At 52.0% G+C, this 16567-nt stretch overlaps 1 protein-coding gene across 6 annotated transcripts in view, besides 1 other annotated feature; it reads right to left on the bottom strand.

The window, feature by feature from the left end:
• The window catches only part of ITPK1 (inositol-tetrakisphosphate 1-kinase), a 179012-nt gene that overhangs the window by 86080 nt on the left and 76365 nt on the right, over positions 1 to 16567 (bottom strand). Inside the window, exon 1 of one of the 6 annotated variants that reach the window (NM_001363707.2) lies at positions 13854 to 13981. The exons of 4 other annotated variants lie outside the window; for them this stretch is intronic. The gene's annotated coding sequence lies outside the window, so the exon portion shown is untranslated. Of the gene's footprint in view, positions 1 to 11322; positions 11448 to 13853; positions 13982 to 16567 lie in introns of those variants that run through there. One more of the 6 variants, XM_017021262.2, reaches the window with a different exon arrangement.
• Positions 11422 to 12117: an enhancer, noted in NCBI's record as "H3K27ac-H3K4me1 hESC enhancer chr14:93500760-93501455 (GRCh37/hg19 assembly coordinates)". NCBI's record gives its function as "activates a minimal SCP1, AML or CMV promoter by ChIP-STARR-seq in naive H9 embryonic stem cells {active_cell/tissue: H9 hESC(naive)}" and the evidence as "EXISTENCE:reporter gene assay evidence [ECO:0000049][PMID:30033119]".

Consider the following 16567-nt stretch of genomic DNA (forward strand, 5'->3'; position numbering starts at 1 on the left):
AATAAAAGGACTGTGGGTATAGCAGCCCCTTTTCTGTTTTTGCTTGTTTGTTTGTTTGTTTTGTAGAGATGTGCTGGGTTTCACCATGTTTGGCCAGGCTGGTCTTGAACTCCTGATCTCATGTGATCTGCCCGCCTTGGCCTCCCAAAATGCTGGGATTACAGGTGTGAGCCACCGCACACGGCCTATCAGCCCCTTTTCTGGACACAAGGCAGGACTGCACTTCCTGATTCCCTGGTAAATGGGTGATCATGTGACTCGTTCTGGCCAATGAGCTGTGAGTGAAAACAGAACATGCCGTTTCCTGGGCAGAGCATGTAACTGCAGGAGTAAGGTCTCCAGAGCCCTCTCTCCCCTCTGGTGCAGGACCAGCAACCTTCCAGATGGGGCTGCTCAGTTTTAGATCTCTGAGTGAATAAGATGGACAGAGCCCCCAGCTGGCCCTGTGGACATGTGGCATGAGTGCGGAATAACCCACGGTTTTCAGCTAAGATTCTGAGGCTGTTGGTTAATACAGCACAACCAAATCTGTCCTCATAAAATAGCTGGTCCCCCTACCCCAAGCTTTTCTTTTTCATTTGTTGAAACAAAGGAAGGATGGAAGGGAAGGGAAAGGGAAGGGGAGAAAAGCAGATTAAGGCAAACAGGCCCCGACAGGTAACTGCAAGGTTGAGAACAGGATTTAGCTATGATTTTTTTCACATTGTAGTTTATTAGTATTTGGATGAGAGAGGAATGGGGATTTATCCTGTAAGGGGAAGATAACTTGTCAGAGCCCTTAGGAGCAAAAGGCAGGAGCCTTGATAGAGCCACATCACGACGTGGCTATTCCCCAGCATCCTAGGAAAGCTCACCCCTAGCAGTCCCCTCAACCTGCCAGATGAGTCCCTCGATCCCGTGCATCTTGGCCAAGGGGCTGCTTCATCTGTGTTATTGTTCACAGTGGCACCTGAGAGGCCAGAGTCAGAGCTGATAGGAGCTAACCCCTCCCCTCTGTTGCCAGGCACCAATCTAGTCCTGTCCTGGGGGGAAAGTACGAATCACAGGCTAGCAGAAAAAGAAAAAAAGGGAGCATAAAAGGGCTGGCAGGTCTGGATCCACAAGGTGGGGAGTCAGAAGCCACGTAACAAAGCCTGACCGCCCTGTGTGTGTTGCGGGGAGAGCGGAGAGGATCCCACACATGAACCTCCTGTTGCCAGGCCTGGAGGAAGGAACTCGCGGAATCCTCTTGCCCACAGCACTCCTCCATGGCTGGCCAGTGCTCTTCTTCCCAAGCCACCTCAAGCACAGAGGTGCTCCCTCCCCAGGCAGAAGGATGCCCAGGGGTTAGAGGGCAGGGGCTGAGCCTCCAGCTGTGCAGCCTGGGGAAGGGCACATCCCTCCCCTCCCCAAGCCTGCTTCCTCGCCTGTGGAGTGAGGGTAAAGAAATATCCTTCCTATAGTCGCGATGAGCACACAGCCAGGGCCAGCCATCGATTACCTCCCTCTGTGACTAGAGCTGACCATGCTGTACAGGTGTCAGCAAATAGGACTTTCTTCCTCACATGAGGCTGGATGTTCTCTGGCCTCAGCGGAGGCCTTTCTGGCCTTCTTTGGCTTTCCACCAGCATGATTCTGATAATCACCTCCACCAGAACTACCGGGACCCTTATATTCCAGGTGCTGCAGTGAGCAAATGACAGACCTAATCTCCTTAGCACATAATCTCCATGTCCTTAGGAGGCAGAGGCCACTGTCACCATTTTACACATGAAGCAAGGAAGTCAAGAGGCAAAACAACCGAACTGAGGCTGTATAACCAGCAAATCTCCCCCAACACCCCCAGGTCCCTGTGGCTCCGGGACACAGGCTCCTGAGCCTTCTGCCTTCATCAGGAAGGGGAGTGGGCCGACAACACAGCTGGCTAGACGTCCTTTCCTGATGTGCAGGGATTGAGGCTGGGGGGAGCTATCATGTGGTCCGAGATACAATCTGAGGGGGCCAGAGGCAGGGAAGCACCCACAAGCACAGCGTCAACAACCCAGACTTGCCCCAGTTCCAGGAGAACAGGACAATTCTGAAATCCTAGCTGGCAGGCCTCAAGTTTTCAACCACAACGCCATCTCCTGAGAGCCACCTGGGTCAGGAAGCGAGAACCTGTCCAGGGCTGGAATCAGGGTCTTTCCATCCTGCCGGCCACCGACACAGCACACCACTGTCAGCTTTGCAGAGTTCTCCAAGATGAAGGGCCTGGCACTGGCACCCCAACCCGGAAATCAAGAGCAGGAATGGAGGCTGTGGGGGCAAGCAGACAGTGGTAAGGCCTGCCTAGCGCCGCCCACGTTGCTGTCTTTCTACTTTAGTTGTGGTGGTTTTGCCAGGCAGAAAATCTTGACTTTTCTGTAATTCAAATGTATAAATATTTTCATCTTTTGATCTTTGCTCCCTAGACTGTTTTTTAAATCAGCCCACGGTTTTCTCAACTATTTTTACATTTTAAGTTTTTATCATTAAATCTTAAATCCACCGGGAGTTGTTTCAGTGAAAGACTGAGGTGTGCATCTGTGTATGTTTTCCTCCGGATGAGCACTCCAGTGTCTCAACAACATTTACTTACCCATCTTTTACCCACTGTTTGCAAATGCCAATATTTTCATAATTCTCACATTTTTTGGACTCTTCATTAACTTGTCTTTCACCAATATCACAATGATTTCGTTTGGTTTTCTTTTTCCCACATTGTTTTAATTACAATTGCTTCATGATAAGCTTAATACCAATAAGATCTAGGTCCTCCCTTTTTCACAATTTTCCTGACCAGTCATGCTCATTTATTTTTCCTACACATCCTTAAGAACAGGACTTGGAGCTGGGTGTGGTGGCTCATGCCTGTAATCCCAGCATGGGATTGTTGGAAGGTTGAGGCAGGTGGATCGCCTGAGTCCAGGAGTTTGAGACCAGGCTGGATGACAGAGTGAGACCCCATCTCTAAAAATATAAAAAATTAGCCGGGCTGGTGGTGCACACCACGCCCACGCCTGTCATCCCAGCTACTCAGGAGGTTGAGGCAGGAGGGTGGCTTAAGCACGGATTGCGCCACTGCACTCCAGCCTGGGTGACAGAGTGAGGCCCTGTCTAAAAAAAAAGAAAAAAAGAATAGGACTTGGATGGAGAATTACTTATATTTATGTATCAATTTAAGGAAAACCCATGGTTTGATCATGAATCCTCTTAGCCAGGAACACCACGTATTATATTTGCAGCTTATATCACAAATGACTAATCTCTCTCAAATATATTAAGATCCTACAAACTGATTTTTTTAAAAAGAAAACCTAACACAACAGAAAACATGAACAAAAGATATGTTTGAATGTTAAGTACAGAAAATTAACTACAAAAGGCTTCCAACATATAAAAATTAGAAAATACTCAACCTCATTCATACAACAAATGCAAATTACAACTACATTATGATAACCATGTTTTATGTACCAGATTGGTGAAAGTCAGAGAGACGGATAACAGACTGTATCGGCCAGGGCTGGGGGGATGCAGATTCAACCGTCTCGACGGCAGCAAGTTGGTAATATCCATCACAATATAAATGCATAACCTTTCTCGTCCAGGAGTCTCACTTCCAGGAGCTGATCTCACAGGGTGAACTCACCCACATATGCACTCACACACATTGCTGCACTGTTTGTAATCGCCAAAAATTAGTAACTAAATAAAAGTCCAACAAGAAGGGACTGAATCACTTATGAAGATCCATATGGTGGAAGACCATGCTGCCACAGAAGAGAACGGGGAGTGCTTTCTGTGGTGACGTGGAAAGATCTCCAAGAAGGGGCCGATCACTGAGTATACCATGCTAGAATATGTATGGGGAGGGGAAAAAAGGGTTACACAAAATCAACATGTGCTTGTACAGTAAGTCTTCACTGAACATTGGGGATAGGTTCTTGGAAAGTGCAGTATCAACTGAATTGTACAGCAGGTCCTTAAATAACATCAATTCCTTCAACGTCACTTTTTTATAACAGTGAGAAAAAAATTGGTTTCATTATATATTTCATTTAAAGGCACAGTCCTCAAGAACCTATCGAAGACGTTAAGTGAGATCTTACTGGATATGCACAGAGTATCTTGGGATGTGCACTAGAAACTGGTCAGAGTGGCAGCCACCACAGGGGAGAGGACCAGGGGGCTTGTGGGATCAGGGTGAAAGGGAGACTGCTCATCATGTGCTCCCAGAAATTTAAAACCAGTGAAATGTCTTATTTACTTACTGAAAGTTTGTAAATTACCAACTGAGCAGTCTCTAGGAAGAGCACACGTTTGGAGTCTGAGAGTCAGACAGGCTTAGATTCAAATCCAGCCAATAACTAACATCCATCGAGCACCTCTGTGCACCCAGCCCAACTCTACGCACTTCACATGAACTATCTCACTTAATCATCTCAATGACCCCATGAGGCAGAGCCAATTATTATTCCCATTGTACAGATGGGGACACCAAGGCAACTCGCCTTCATCCACACAGCTAATGATGAAGGAGCTGGGAGGGGGCCAGGGAGGCAGACTCTGGGCTAGACAACTGGAGAACCACACTCCAGATGTTCCAACACAGGGACACGTCTACAACATGTGCACGCACGTGGACAACTGTGTACACGTGCCTCAGGACTCCTCTGCAGATCTCAGAGCCCGTGCACTAGTCACTGAGTAAGCAAGACAGTCATCAACAGAAAACAGAAATGATTTCTGCTGCTGTCCAACTGGTGCCCCCATTCCCACCAAATGGCACACGTGACAACCTCAGTCTCACCCAGGGCCACCTGACCCAGCTGCTTTGGCTGAGCACAAGGGGCTCACTGAAAACCCTTCCCTGCTCTCAGTGCCCAAGGAATCCTGGCTCTCCTCTCTCCAACCTCTGCCCTGAGGCTTCAGTACTTTCCAAGTCACCCAGAGAGCAGTGGGAAAAAAAGGGGCTGGTCCTTGGCTTTCTGCACTGAGAGGACCTCTGTGGGAAACCGGCACTGTGGGTCCATGCACCTGCTGGCTCCCGCCAGAAACCCGGAGGCTGCTCTCCCACAGCCACACGCCCAACATGCCCTGGTTCCCTTGCACACGCACAGGAGCCACAGGACGCGTCCTGGCCAACAGAATGGGAGCAGACGTAGTGGGTGCTTCCAGGCCAAGCTAGTTCAAGTGTATGATGAACAGCGTGCCTTCCCTAGACCCCATTCATGTGGCTGACGAAAAAGACTTGGATGACAGAATAACCTGATGGAGTGAACACAGATTCTTGAGTCACTGCTTGGAGAGGCCGCTGGTCTCCACTGGACTGTGACATGAGCCGGAAACCAACCCCCAGAGGTACAGGGCAGCCTGTTCTAACACCTTCGCTCAGCCTGTTGACGAGCTCTCCAGCCAGGACAATCTCTCCCCAGGCACTGCTCACTGTGTGCCCACGCCAAGGATGGCTTTGGAACTCAAGTCCCAGATACTGGAAGCAATGGAGGGGTGGAGGCAGCTGTGGGCAGACCTGGGCCTTCAGTCAGTGATCTTCAACCCCCTTGAGACACTGTTTCCTCACTGGTACAATACAGCCGATGACAGCTGCCATCAGCATTCCACGAGACAGTGTTGGTGAAGCCTTAGCACCAAGCCTGGCCCAGAGCAGGCCCCCTGCAGGCACCTCCCCAAGCGGATGTCAGCTCTCAGACCCTCCGGAACCTCAGCAATCACAGTTCCCATTGGATCTCCCACCTCTAACGCCAAACAGTAACCGCCTTCAGGTTCAGCTTCGGCATTTCTAAGCCTCAGCGTCCCAGGCACGATGATGGGGCTGTGGCTCCTCCCTCCCATTGAGAACACTTCACTGCCTCCTCGCAGTGGTGCCTACTCAGGGAGAACAGAGACGCTCAAGCTGACTGAGCTTACGTGGCTGATGAGTTGCAGAGAGTTCTCCTTAGCCTGTGCCCCCTCCCTGAGGACAGGGACTATGTCCTATTCCTCCCCGTGGCCCCTGTGTGGCCTGGCATCATGCCCAGTTGTTCTAGAAACCAGCCAACATGGACTGAATTGATTCCCCAAAGCTGGAGGGATTCATGCCATTCACCTATCCATACAGTATATATTGGGCATTGGGCATTTCCATAACCACCCTCCAAGGACATGTTATCCCTGCTTTGCTCCGAAAAAAGGACATGATGAGATGAGGGAACTCGTGGAAGGTCACTGAGAGTAAGCGGCAGGCCCATGTTTTCTTACCACTCCCTTCCCTAGAGCCAACACCTCACACTGCCCGCCCCTCACCTCCACCTGGGGTCTGGACCCTTGGGGACCCTGAGCTTAGTTGTGTCTGTGTTGGACTCTGGAGGGTATGGTGGGAGAGGTGAGAATCTTCAGGTTAAAGAATTCCACGATGTCCCAAGCAGCCCCAGGAATAAGCCACACATGCCCTGGGCCTAGCAGGGTAAGAAAAATAAAGCCGTCTCTGGGCAACAGAGCAGGCAAGGACACCCGAGCCACCCGAGCTTCAGCCCCAGGGTGCACCTTGCAGAGAGGAGACATGGGCCCCAGGAAGCCCAAAAGGCACAGAGGCTCCAGGCAGCTGTGCTTTTAGCCAAGCCGGCAGGCCACAATCTTTGAGGGCTGAAGATGCCACAGCTCTGACAACAAGCACACAAGGCAGGAGATGAGCCACCACCCTTGGTCACTGGCACGGCTTCCTGGGCATGACTCTTGTCCTCCCAAGCAGGCCATGAGCATCTTGCAGGCCCCTTCCTCTACAGCCAAGCATAGTAAGGATCAAACAGTCACAGACACTGACCCTCCCAGGCCCAAGAGAGTGGACAAGGCAAGGGTAACAAAGGAAGCCACTGACAGTCCCCAGCAGATTGTCTTCGGTGCACCACATCTGACTGTCCCAAAGCTGTGGCGAGGGATGGATTTCTATCTGAGCTCTCAGCCAGATGAATTCAAAGGCTGCTACCCCCTTCCAGAAACCCAGCTACCCTGTCTCTCTGCACTTCCCACAGAGGATTTCAGATCCAGGACTGCACCACCTGGATCCCAACTTCCCTCCCAGATGGCAAGCACGAAGTTAGCGCGCAATGCAGGCTGCACTCCCTTCCAACTGCCAACATGGGAACTGAGGGTGTGAGAGCGGCACCCCGCATTTACACTCAGTAGAGCTGACTGGGGAATGTGCAAAAATAAAATGAGGTGACACGTCCCACTTGACAAATGCTGAAAACATCAAGAATGCAGTCACAGCCACCCTTCTTGCTTCTGCCCTTTATCCAAAATGTAAATAAAAGAGAAACCGTTACTGCTTCATGAATCACACACAAAAGCCTGTTCTTTACTCTCCTCTGGTTTTCTCAAAGCCTCAGTTTGTGTGAGTGATGCATGGGAAAGACAACAGGACTTGTTTTCTTTTCTTTCTTTCATTCATTCATTCATTCATTCATGCACTCATTCATTGAGTAATTAAGTGAACAGAGTAAGTTTGTGCCTAGCATTGCTCAAGCTCTGAAGATGCAACGTGAAGATGACCGCCAGGTCCCTGTCCTCAGTGCTCATACTCACAGCCTAGTGTGGGAGACAGACAACAAACAAGCAAAGGAAGCGACTGGAGGCACCACCGAGGGCTGCAACATCAATGAAGTGCAGAGGGCATGATAGGAAAGGGGGGCACTCGTCAGAGAAGGCCTGGTACAGGCTAAACTGTGTCCCCAAAAAACGGTATGTTGAAGTCCTAACCCCTAGTACCTCAGAACGTGACCTGGTTAGGAAATGGGGTCTTTGCAGATGACCTTTGTTAAGATGAGGTCATTCCAGAGCAGGTAGGTCCCTAGTCCACGATGACTGGTGCTCCTATAAAAAGGGGAAATTTAGACACAGACCCGCACAAAGGAGGAACATCGTGAGGAGATGAAGGCAGAGATGAGGGCGGTACTTCTACATTCCCGGGAACGCCAAAGATGGCTGGCAATCCACCCCCAGCAGGGAGAGATGGCTGGAACAGGCCCCGCTGCCTCGGAAGGAGCCCCACTTGGGATCTCAGACTTCTCACCTCCGGAACTGGGAGGGGTGCATTTCTGCTATTTAAGCTGCCCAGTTTGTGGCCCTTTGTGACAGCAGCACTGGCAAATGAATCCAAGGCCTCTCTAAGGAAGGCCTGGGCAAGAAGAAGGCCCAGGAGAGACCTGGGGAAGAATGTTCTGAACTAAGAAGAAGGCAAGTGCAGGGGTCCCGAGCAGAGGAGGCCAGCGTGGGTGCAGGGGACGGGGGACAAAGAGGTGGGGGCACGATTGGAGTCAGTGTCCTCAGAGTGGGGGAAGCTGGCAAAAGGCCATGAGTGAGGGAGTTAGATGCCTCAGTCCCTTTGGAGAGACCGCTGTGGAAGTTAACACAGGTGAGGTGTCAGCACCTTGCCTGGTACAGGCTGTAAGCGCTTCATACATGGCAGTTGCCATTTTTATGGCCTCATGGAACAAGGGACTTAGGTAAGATTTTCAGAAACCATGATGCTTCGAAGACAGCAGCGGGCCAGGGGTCAGGAGCCTGGCACTGACTTGCTGTGGGACCTCGAGCCATCATTTCCCTTGTCTGGAAGCTGGGGGCCTGGGCTTTAATGAGGGCCATAGACCCCCCTAAGGCCTCCTGGTCTGGCTCCAAGAGGTGGTGGTAAGAGAATAAGTGCCCATCCCCAAGTGGGATTCCGACTTCATGTCCCCAGACTCCTCCCTTCCACACCCTGGCTTCCGGCCTGGGATGTTTATTTTTGCTGACAATAAAAAACATATTTCAATGTTTGCTTTATCTCCATGTTCCCCCTAGAATGGCAACTGGCAGCCCCGGCCACAAGTGGCAAAGAATTCTCCAAGTCAAAAAAATTTTCTATGCATCCTTTTTAACAATAAGGAGGGAAACTCTGACTCAAACTCCTACAAAGCCTGCATAGATTATTATTTAAGCCCTGAAGCTGTACTCTTTCTATATTCATTGCTTTCCAATCCGAAGAGAGCATTCCTTGAGGCAGTTTTCCAAACTGGTATTTGATATAATAGTAACAAAGCAGCCGGGTGCAGTGGCTCACGCCTGTCATCCCAGCACTTTAGGAGGCTGGGGCGGGCGGATCACTTGGGGTCAGGAGTTTGCAACCAGCCTGGGCAACACAGTGAAACCCCATCTCTACTAAAAGTGCAAAAATTAGCTGGGCATGGTGGTGCATGCCTGCAATCCCAGCTACTCGGAAGGCTGAGGCAGGAGAATCACTTGAACCCAGGAGGCGGAGGTTGCAGTGAGCCGAGATTACGCCACTGCACTCCAGGCTGGGCGACAGAGCGAGACTCCATCTCAAATAATAATAATAATAATAATAAAGCATTAACAACCTTTTAAACATCACATGAAAAGGGGAAGTTCAGTACTCAAAATCATTTGCAAAGACTCGGTTGCGTCAAGCTAAGCAGCAGCAGAAGCTTTCCTGCAGGACTTCTCAGATACTTTAATATGTTCACTTGCACAGAGATTTGCAGAGAGGAAGAAGCTGACACTGAAACCCTTGCATACTCACTTGGGAGAATTCCAGAGAATGCTGCCAGGTCACAGAAATTTACTGACCCACATCTGACCTGCCCCACCCTCAATGGGAGGAAGTCCCCCAGGGACCACATACACACCATGCTGGGCGGGGCAGCTTGATGCCCTTGAATATCTTCCGATTAGCCTCATCTAGAAGGCACATGTCCACCCAGCTCTGGCTGTGACCCTGGTGAGTTGCTGGGACTCACGAAGGGGCCATCGCACTCTGCAGACTGCAGCGTACTCCACAGCTCTGAGCAGCTGCTCAGGGAATCGGGTGACAAAGGCCAGCACGGATCGGATCGTGCACCCTGCAAAGCCAGCCCTTTTCTCTAGGGGGTGAGCCCTTTAGCAAAGGAGCTGGTGGGCTTCATCTCCCTGGGCAGCAGTTGTGAGCTGCTGAGAAGGCATGGACACAGAGACACCTAGAGAGACTCAGGGTGAAAGCAGATCTGTGCCAATGCCCTGCCAGGGCTTGGGAAAGGTATAAGCATCGGTTTTCCCAGGGTCTACAAATGAAATCAGCACACTCAAATTTGTTGGGTCCCAGTTTTTGCTCAGAGGCCTGTGATTAAGTGTCATTTGTTATTCCTGCAATCCTACAGGTGAGAGTAGGACCGAAGGTCATCTCAGCCAGGCCTAGGGACAGGGTCAAGGGAGGTTTCCTGGGGTGGGTGATGTTAAGATAAACCAACTGTGCATTGGCACAGCAGTGCCTCAGGGACTCTGAGGCAGCAGCCATGTGACCTGTGAGCCTTGTGAAAAGGAGAATAAGAAAAGCTGGATCTGCTGCAATAACTTCCTAACCAGAGAAGGAAGGAGGCTTCCTCAAAGCCCCACAACAGCCAATGCCCCCCAACATTCCCCACCACCTCCTCTGGGCCAGCCCTGCTGAGCACAGACATCAGAACCAGGGTCTAGAGAGGGACCACTGATGAGTAATCAGTCAACAGTGACCACCCAGGAGTGAGGGCCCCAGGACAGGACTGGTAGAGGAACAGTGGGAGCCTTGGGGCTGGGAGGCTCCTGCTGAGAAAACCAAACAGCACTTCATGGAGGAAGCCAGGCCAGACAGGAGGTAAGAGGTACGTGTCTAAGGAAAGGCAGAGAGGAGAAAGAGGCGCTAGAGAGAGACAGACACACACCCACTGGTCCCCAGGGCCTCAGGAACCAGGGAGGGTTTCTCCTGGAAGAGAACGGAGTGTGTGAATGTGCGTGCCTGTGCATGTGGGTGTGTGGTGGGGCACAGGAGGGCTCTCGGGCAGCACAGGGGTAGCTAGGTGGAGAGGTCTAGAGCTAGGGCAGGAATGATGCAGGGGAGGAGACAGAAAGAGAAGCAGGACTGCACAGCAGCTGTGGGACTGGGGACTGAGGATGGGGCAGGGGGCAAGCACAGGACCTCTTCTGGTGAGGGGCAGGGGTGAGGCACCAGCTGGCAGCCTTTTTCCAAACTCAGGAATGGGGGAGAAAGAGTGGGCTCTGATGCTGGGAGCCCCCAGCTCCCTATCCAAAGTGTAGCCCCAAAAGCCGTCTAATACTTCCCCATGGGTCCCTGGTAAGCCCTGCCCCGACACCTTCCTCCCAGGTGCCCTCCCCCACATCCTGCCCCCAGCACACTGAACTGGGAGGTGGCTTCAGCCACACAGCACCTGCAGCAGCCGGGGGTTCCCATGGCAAACCACCCACCCCCAACACTCCCCCACCCCCTGTCGGAGCAGGAAGATGCTCTGGAAAACCTACCCTGACCAGAGGCAAAGTGACTGGGCTCACAAAATGCAAAAAGGCTCCTGAGTCTCTTGATTCTGACCCAGAAAACTCTTCTGGGGGCCCTACAGGCCTCCTCAGAGGGCGACTCCGGCCCCTCTGCCCAGTCTGTGCCTTCACTCCTGTATTTCTGTGCTTTTCCTCTCCAAGAATAGAATGGGGAGGCGGGCTCCACCACAGCTGGCCCCCACTGGGCTGGGAGATCTGTCTGCTCTGCTCCCCACTAGAGGGCAGGCCAGCCTGAGCTGCCTGGGGGCCCCTGGGACCTCCCACATCCTGCATGAAGGTGGGGACTCAGTGAAAGCCTATGGCTAAGTGGGCACATAATGACCCACCAAGCAAGGGAGAAGCAGACACTGAGATGGAAGCGGCAGCTGTGCCCACTGAGGGAGGGTGAAGAAGCCAGTTTAGCAGCGGAGAAGGCTGGCATGGCCCCAGCACACACGGGCAGTGGGCAGTGGGCAGTGCCAGTGCCCAGGGGCTATGCCCTGTGTGGGCCTGCACCACAGGGCCGAGGATTCAGTGGTTCCCTCCAACCTGAGGTCCTGGCCCTCCCATCACCTATGGGGCCTGGCAGGCCTTCCCTTCTCCAGCCCCACCCCAGGTAGCACTGACGGGCCTGGCCTCTGGGCACCTGCACCTACAAAGCAAGTCCTACAGGGTGAACACACCTCCTTCTTTTGGGTCCTGCCTCTTCTCCGCTAGGTTCTAGGGGCTTCAGGACAACAGCCTGCTGTCCTCTGCCCACCACCCCCTCTGAAACACACAGATGAGCTCACCTGAGCTCTCAGCTCACTAGGATGCTGATCTGTGGGACCTTGGTCACATTACGTTGCAGACATTCATTCAACAAATAGAGACCAGGCACTCGCTGTGGACTTCATGCTGCACCAGGGCAGCAGGGATGGCCTCAAGGGCAGACATGGTTGGCAGTTGGGCCAGTGAGGCAAAATAAAATGGAGGCTCTTCCAGAATGACCCAAAAGAGTGCAGTGAGCACACAAAGGCAGGCACAGGTATTCACGCTGGGCAGTCAAAAGCCGACTCAAAGGAGATGGCAGGTAAGCTGAGCCTTGAAGGACAGTGGAATGCCTCCCTCATCTCCCATGGGTGTGTATATCTGCACATGTACACCAGAGAGCCCCAAATCACCAGTGCAGACTGATGTGCTATGGAAATTCTGCACTGAGAAGCCAAGGGGAATGGGAGGTCAACAAATGGCCAAAGAGGCCATGCTGCCTAGGAAACAGGACGGGAGGGAGGGAGGGAGGGGGCTCAGGCCGCAGAAACCTGTCTGGCTGCTGTGACACTGGTGAGTGGGAGGCAGTGGTCTACCAGGCACTGCATGAGGCCCAGAATGGGAACAACCATGGCTGTCCAGGGCCTGGTGCCCGACAGCACCGTGAACAGCTGCCTCACCCTCCTGGGTACCAGGAGGTGGCAGAGGCAGGTTTCAACCCACCCAGGTCGGTCTGGACCAGAGCCTCCTGCTTCAGTTACTGGGCCTGTCACCTCCCACCAGAAACCAGCTGGGCCCAGGGCCTAGCCAGGAGACCAGAGAGGTCCAAGGCCTGGGCTAAGGGTGGCAGGCCCAGGTGGATGTATGTGGTGCCAAGTGGCTGCCTCTTCCCAGCCTGACTCCGGCACGTGATGACTAATTTGAATTGTTCTAATTCCTGAGGAGCATCCTCAGAGTTTGGAAACAGGTGGGAGGAGCACTCGCCAAGCCCAAGGCCACCCTTTCCAAGAAAGGGCTACGAAAGCAATGGTGGCGTCAGTGAGACCTGCCCCTCCCCAGGAGCCCAAGGTCCCAGGAGCCCAAGGTCGGTAACTTCAAGAGCTGCGGGGAGCAGAGGCCACAACCGGAGGGACACTGTCCCCGTCCTACTGGGAAGGGCCGCTCCTATAGCAACCAGCCCTGCCCCAGGAGGTCCACATGGTGCAGTGGACTGCAATGTCTAAAGGGCATCCGGTTGAGGCCACAAGGTCATGCTCTGTGACAGCGTGAGAAGAACTGCAAACATCTCACTGAGGTTTAAGATAAACCAAAGATGCTGAGAGAACAAATGTGACAGGCTCCTCAGTATTCACGGCTGCTTTCCCGCACGTCAGACACAGCCAACAATGACAAACACGTGACCTCCTCCGAGAGGCTGGTGGGAGCACGTGCCCCATTTGACCCCCACGGCTCTTGCTGTTTGCTGGTGGCAGCCTCTCCACACCCCCTAACCCCCAGCCACTCTCCCCGGCGTTCTGTGGCCCACACCCCTCATGACTCACCAGGCTCAGCACCCCAGGGGCCGGGTGAGGGCTCTCCCCCAGGAACACTGCCCCTATTCTCTGGGCTCTGGGATCGTTACCAACAACCCGCACCGCATTCTCTCCCACTCATCTCAATACCGCAGGGGAGGATGCAGCCCCCAGAACTTGGAAATGCCAAGAAAAATCCCCCCAGAGCAGAGCAGAGAAGGGCTGAGAGATGCTGACAGCTGCCAAAAAGGGACCTACCTGCTGTCAAGGGGTGGAAGCCCCAAACCTCAGTGCTTGTGACTGTCAGAGAGCTGGGAAAGCCACGGAACACACAGAGCCTCCCGGCTCGGCGACAATGCCCTGGCTGTTCCCCCGGCCCCCACCCCCTAACAATGCTCCTTTTTTCTTGGGCACTGACCCTCACTTATCAGGGCTCTGTCCTCAGAAGAGCCTGCAGGCCCAGGCAGCTGGACCAGGGAGGCCCTGGAAGGCTGTTCCCCTGCTCCCTGGGTGGCTCCTGCTCTGAGCCAGGCCAGTCCCAATCCCTGGGGCCTACACAGGAAGCCCCGGAACCACAGCAATTCTCCCTGCCAACCCTCTGACCCCGGGACAATGGCATCTCCATGCCCCTTGCATGGTCAACAGGGCAGTGTTGATAGGAAAAGAGGAGACCAGCATTTCTCAGCCTAGGACGTCAGATCCTGCCTGCATTTCACCATGGGTGTGTGTGGGTGTGTGTCTGCCTTTCTTTCAAACAGATGGTCAAGGTCAAACTCACTGAAAATTCAAAATTTGGTAAGAGTTATTAAAGGTATTTCAAGGAATGTGACGGTTGGGTTTCACTGCTGGAATAAACAGCAGCCACTGGCTGAAGGCGCAGGTAAGCTTCAGGATGTAGCCCCAGGCCCCAGCCACCTAGATGCACCTTACATGCTCACCTGAGCAGCCACCTGCAAGGCTGGCTCCCACTTCACAACGGGAGTCCAAGGCCAGGCCCAGGACTCAAGAACTCCTACTGGCGAGCCCGGGGCTGAGATTCAAACTCAGCTTCCTGACAAGGTGTGGTCCGGATGTTAAAGACAAGGAAGACAGAAGAGTGCCACCTGGGGCTCTAGGAACCCTTAACATGACCCAGCTGCCTCCTGCAGTGGAGATGGTGAGACTCAGGCAGAATAAAGATACCAGCTGTGTCTATAAAGTAATACAGCTTTTCAAAAAAACTGTCTTTTTTCTCTGATCAAATTAATGTCCATTGTAAGAGATGTTTATATCTCCAGTTATTTACTCAGGGATCGAAAAATTTTAACTTAATCTCAGAGATAGCCTGTAACATTTGTATTACATAACGTACTCCTCCAAGTTTTTAATATTTATCTTTGCTAAAACTGAAATTATACTACACAAACATCTGGATCCTACTTTTTAATTAACAAACTATAAGGAATATATTCCTGTGACATGACATATTCTTTTTTTTTTTTTGAGATGGAGCCTTGCTCTGTTGCCCAGGCTAGAGTGCAATGGCACAGTCTCAGCTCACTGCAACCTCTGCCTCCCAGGTTCAGCCTCCCAAGTAGCTGGGACTACAGGTGTGAGCAATCACACCCAGCTAACTTTTGTATTTTTTGTAGAGACGTGGTTTTGCCGTGTCAGCCAGGCTGGTCTCAAACTCCTGACCTCACGTGATCTGCCCACCTCAGCCTCCCAAAGTACTGGGATTATAGGTGTGAGCCACCACGTCCAGCCAACATTGCATATTCTTCTAAAGCATTATCATTAAAAGGTAAATCAAGCATAATTTATTTAATCAATTCCCTACCTTTTAATGTTTGGTTGTTTCTAATTGTACAATTATACATAACACAGGAAAAATGATTAAATTATATCCATATACTCTCTTTTGGAAGGGAAAGAAAAGTGGGATATATGTGGGTTTTTGTTTGTTTGTTTGTTTTTTGAGACAGAGTCTCACTTTGTCGCCCAGGCTGGAGTGCAATGGTGCAATCTCGGCTCACTGCAACCTCCACCTCCTGGGTTCAAGCGATTCTCCTGCCTCAGCCTCCCATGTAGCTGGGATTACAGGCATGTGCCACCACACCCGGCTAATTTTTGTATTTTTAGTAGAGATGGGTTTCACCATGTTGGCCAGGCTGGTCTGGAACTCCTGACCTCAAGTGATCCACCCGTTTCGGCCTCCCAAAGTGCTGGGATTACAGGCGTGAGCCACCGCACCCAGCCAGATATGTGTTTAAAACCGGAAAACCATTCTTCTGAAGACAAAGACATAAGTGCCAAGCAACTATCTAAAAAATGCATCCAGTGGAAAATGGCATTTCCTGGACATGCCAGAAAATAAGATACTCTAATACCGTTCCTAAAACCTGTGACCTATTTCTTGCTCAGTTTTTCTCTGAACTGAGCCCCAAAAGATGTCCCAAGTTGGGAGTTAAGTTCCCTTTGCTACCACCGCCGACCTTGCTGCCATGGCTACAGCGTCCGCCTGCATACGCCCAGCTCTCACGGGGGTGCTGCCAAACTCAAGAGCCCACCACTGACTTCCCCTTTCCTACTAAACGATGCCCAGAGTTCTGGGCACAGGCCTTTTGGGCAGGCTCTGGCCCCAGCATGCTTTGGGCTCCCTCTCCTATTTGCTCCATGCTCACCATACCCAGAAACACCCCCCACCTCCTTGTTCTACAGAGGCTGTTCTCTCTCCTTCTCAGCTACTCAACCTTCTCTCAATCCATGTCAACAAGACGCCTCCTCTTTTTTTGCTAGGCATGGTGACTCACACCTGTAATCTCAGCACTTTGGGAGGCCAAGGCAGGAGAATCACTTGAGCCTAGGAGTTCAAGATCAGCCTGGGCAACACAGCAAGACCCCTTGTCTACAAAAAAAAATTAAAAACAGAAACCTCCTCTTCCACCCTGTGCCTGCTGGAGACTTTGTATCTTTACCAGCCCAAGGTGCTT

This window comes from Homo sapiens, chromosome 14 (genome assembly GCF_000001405.40).
Source record: "Homo sapiens chromosome 14, GRCh38.p14 Primary Assembly".
NCBI classification, from domain to species: Eukaryota; Metazoa; Chordata; class Mammalia; order Primates; family Hominidae; genus Homo; species Homo sapiens.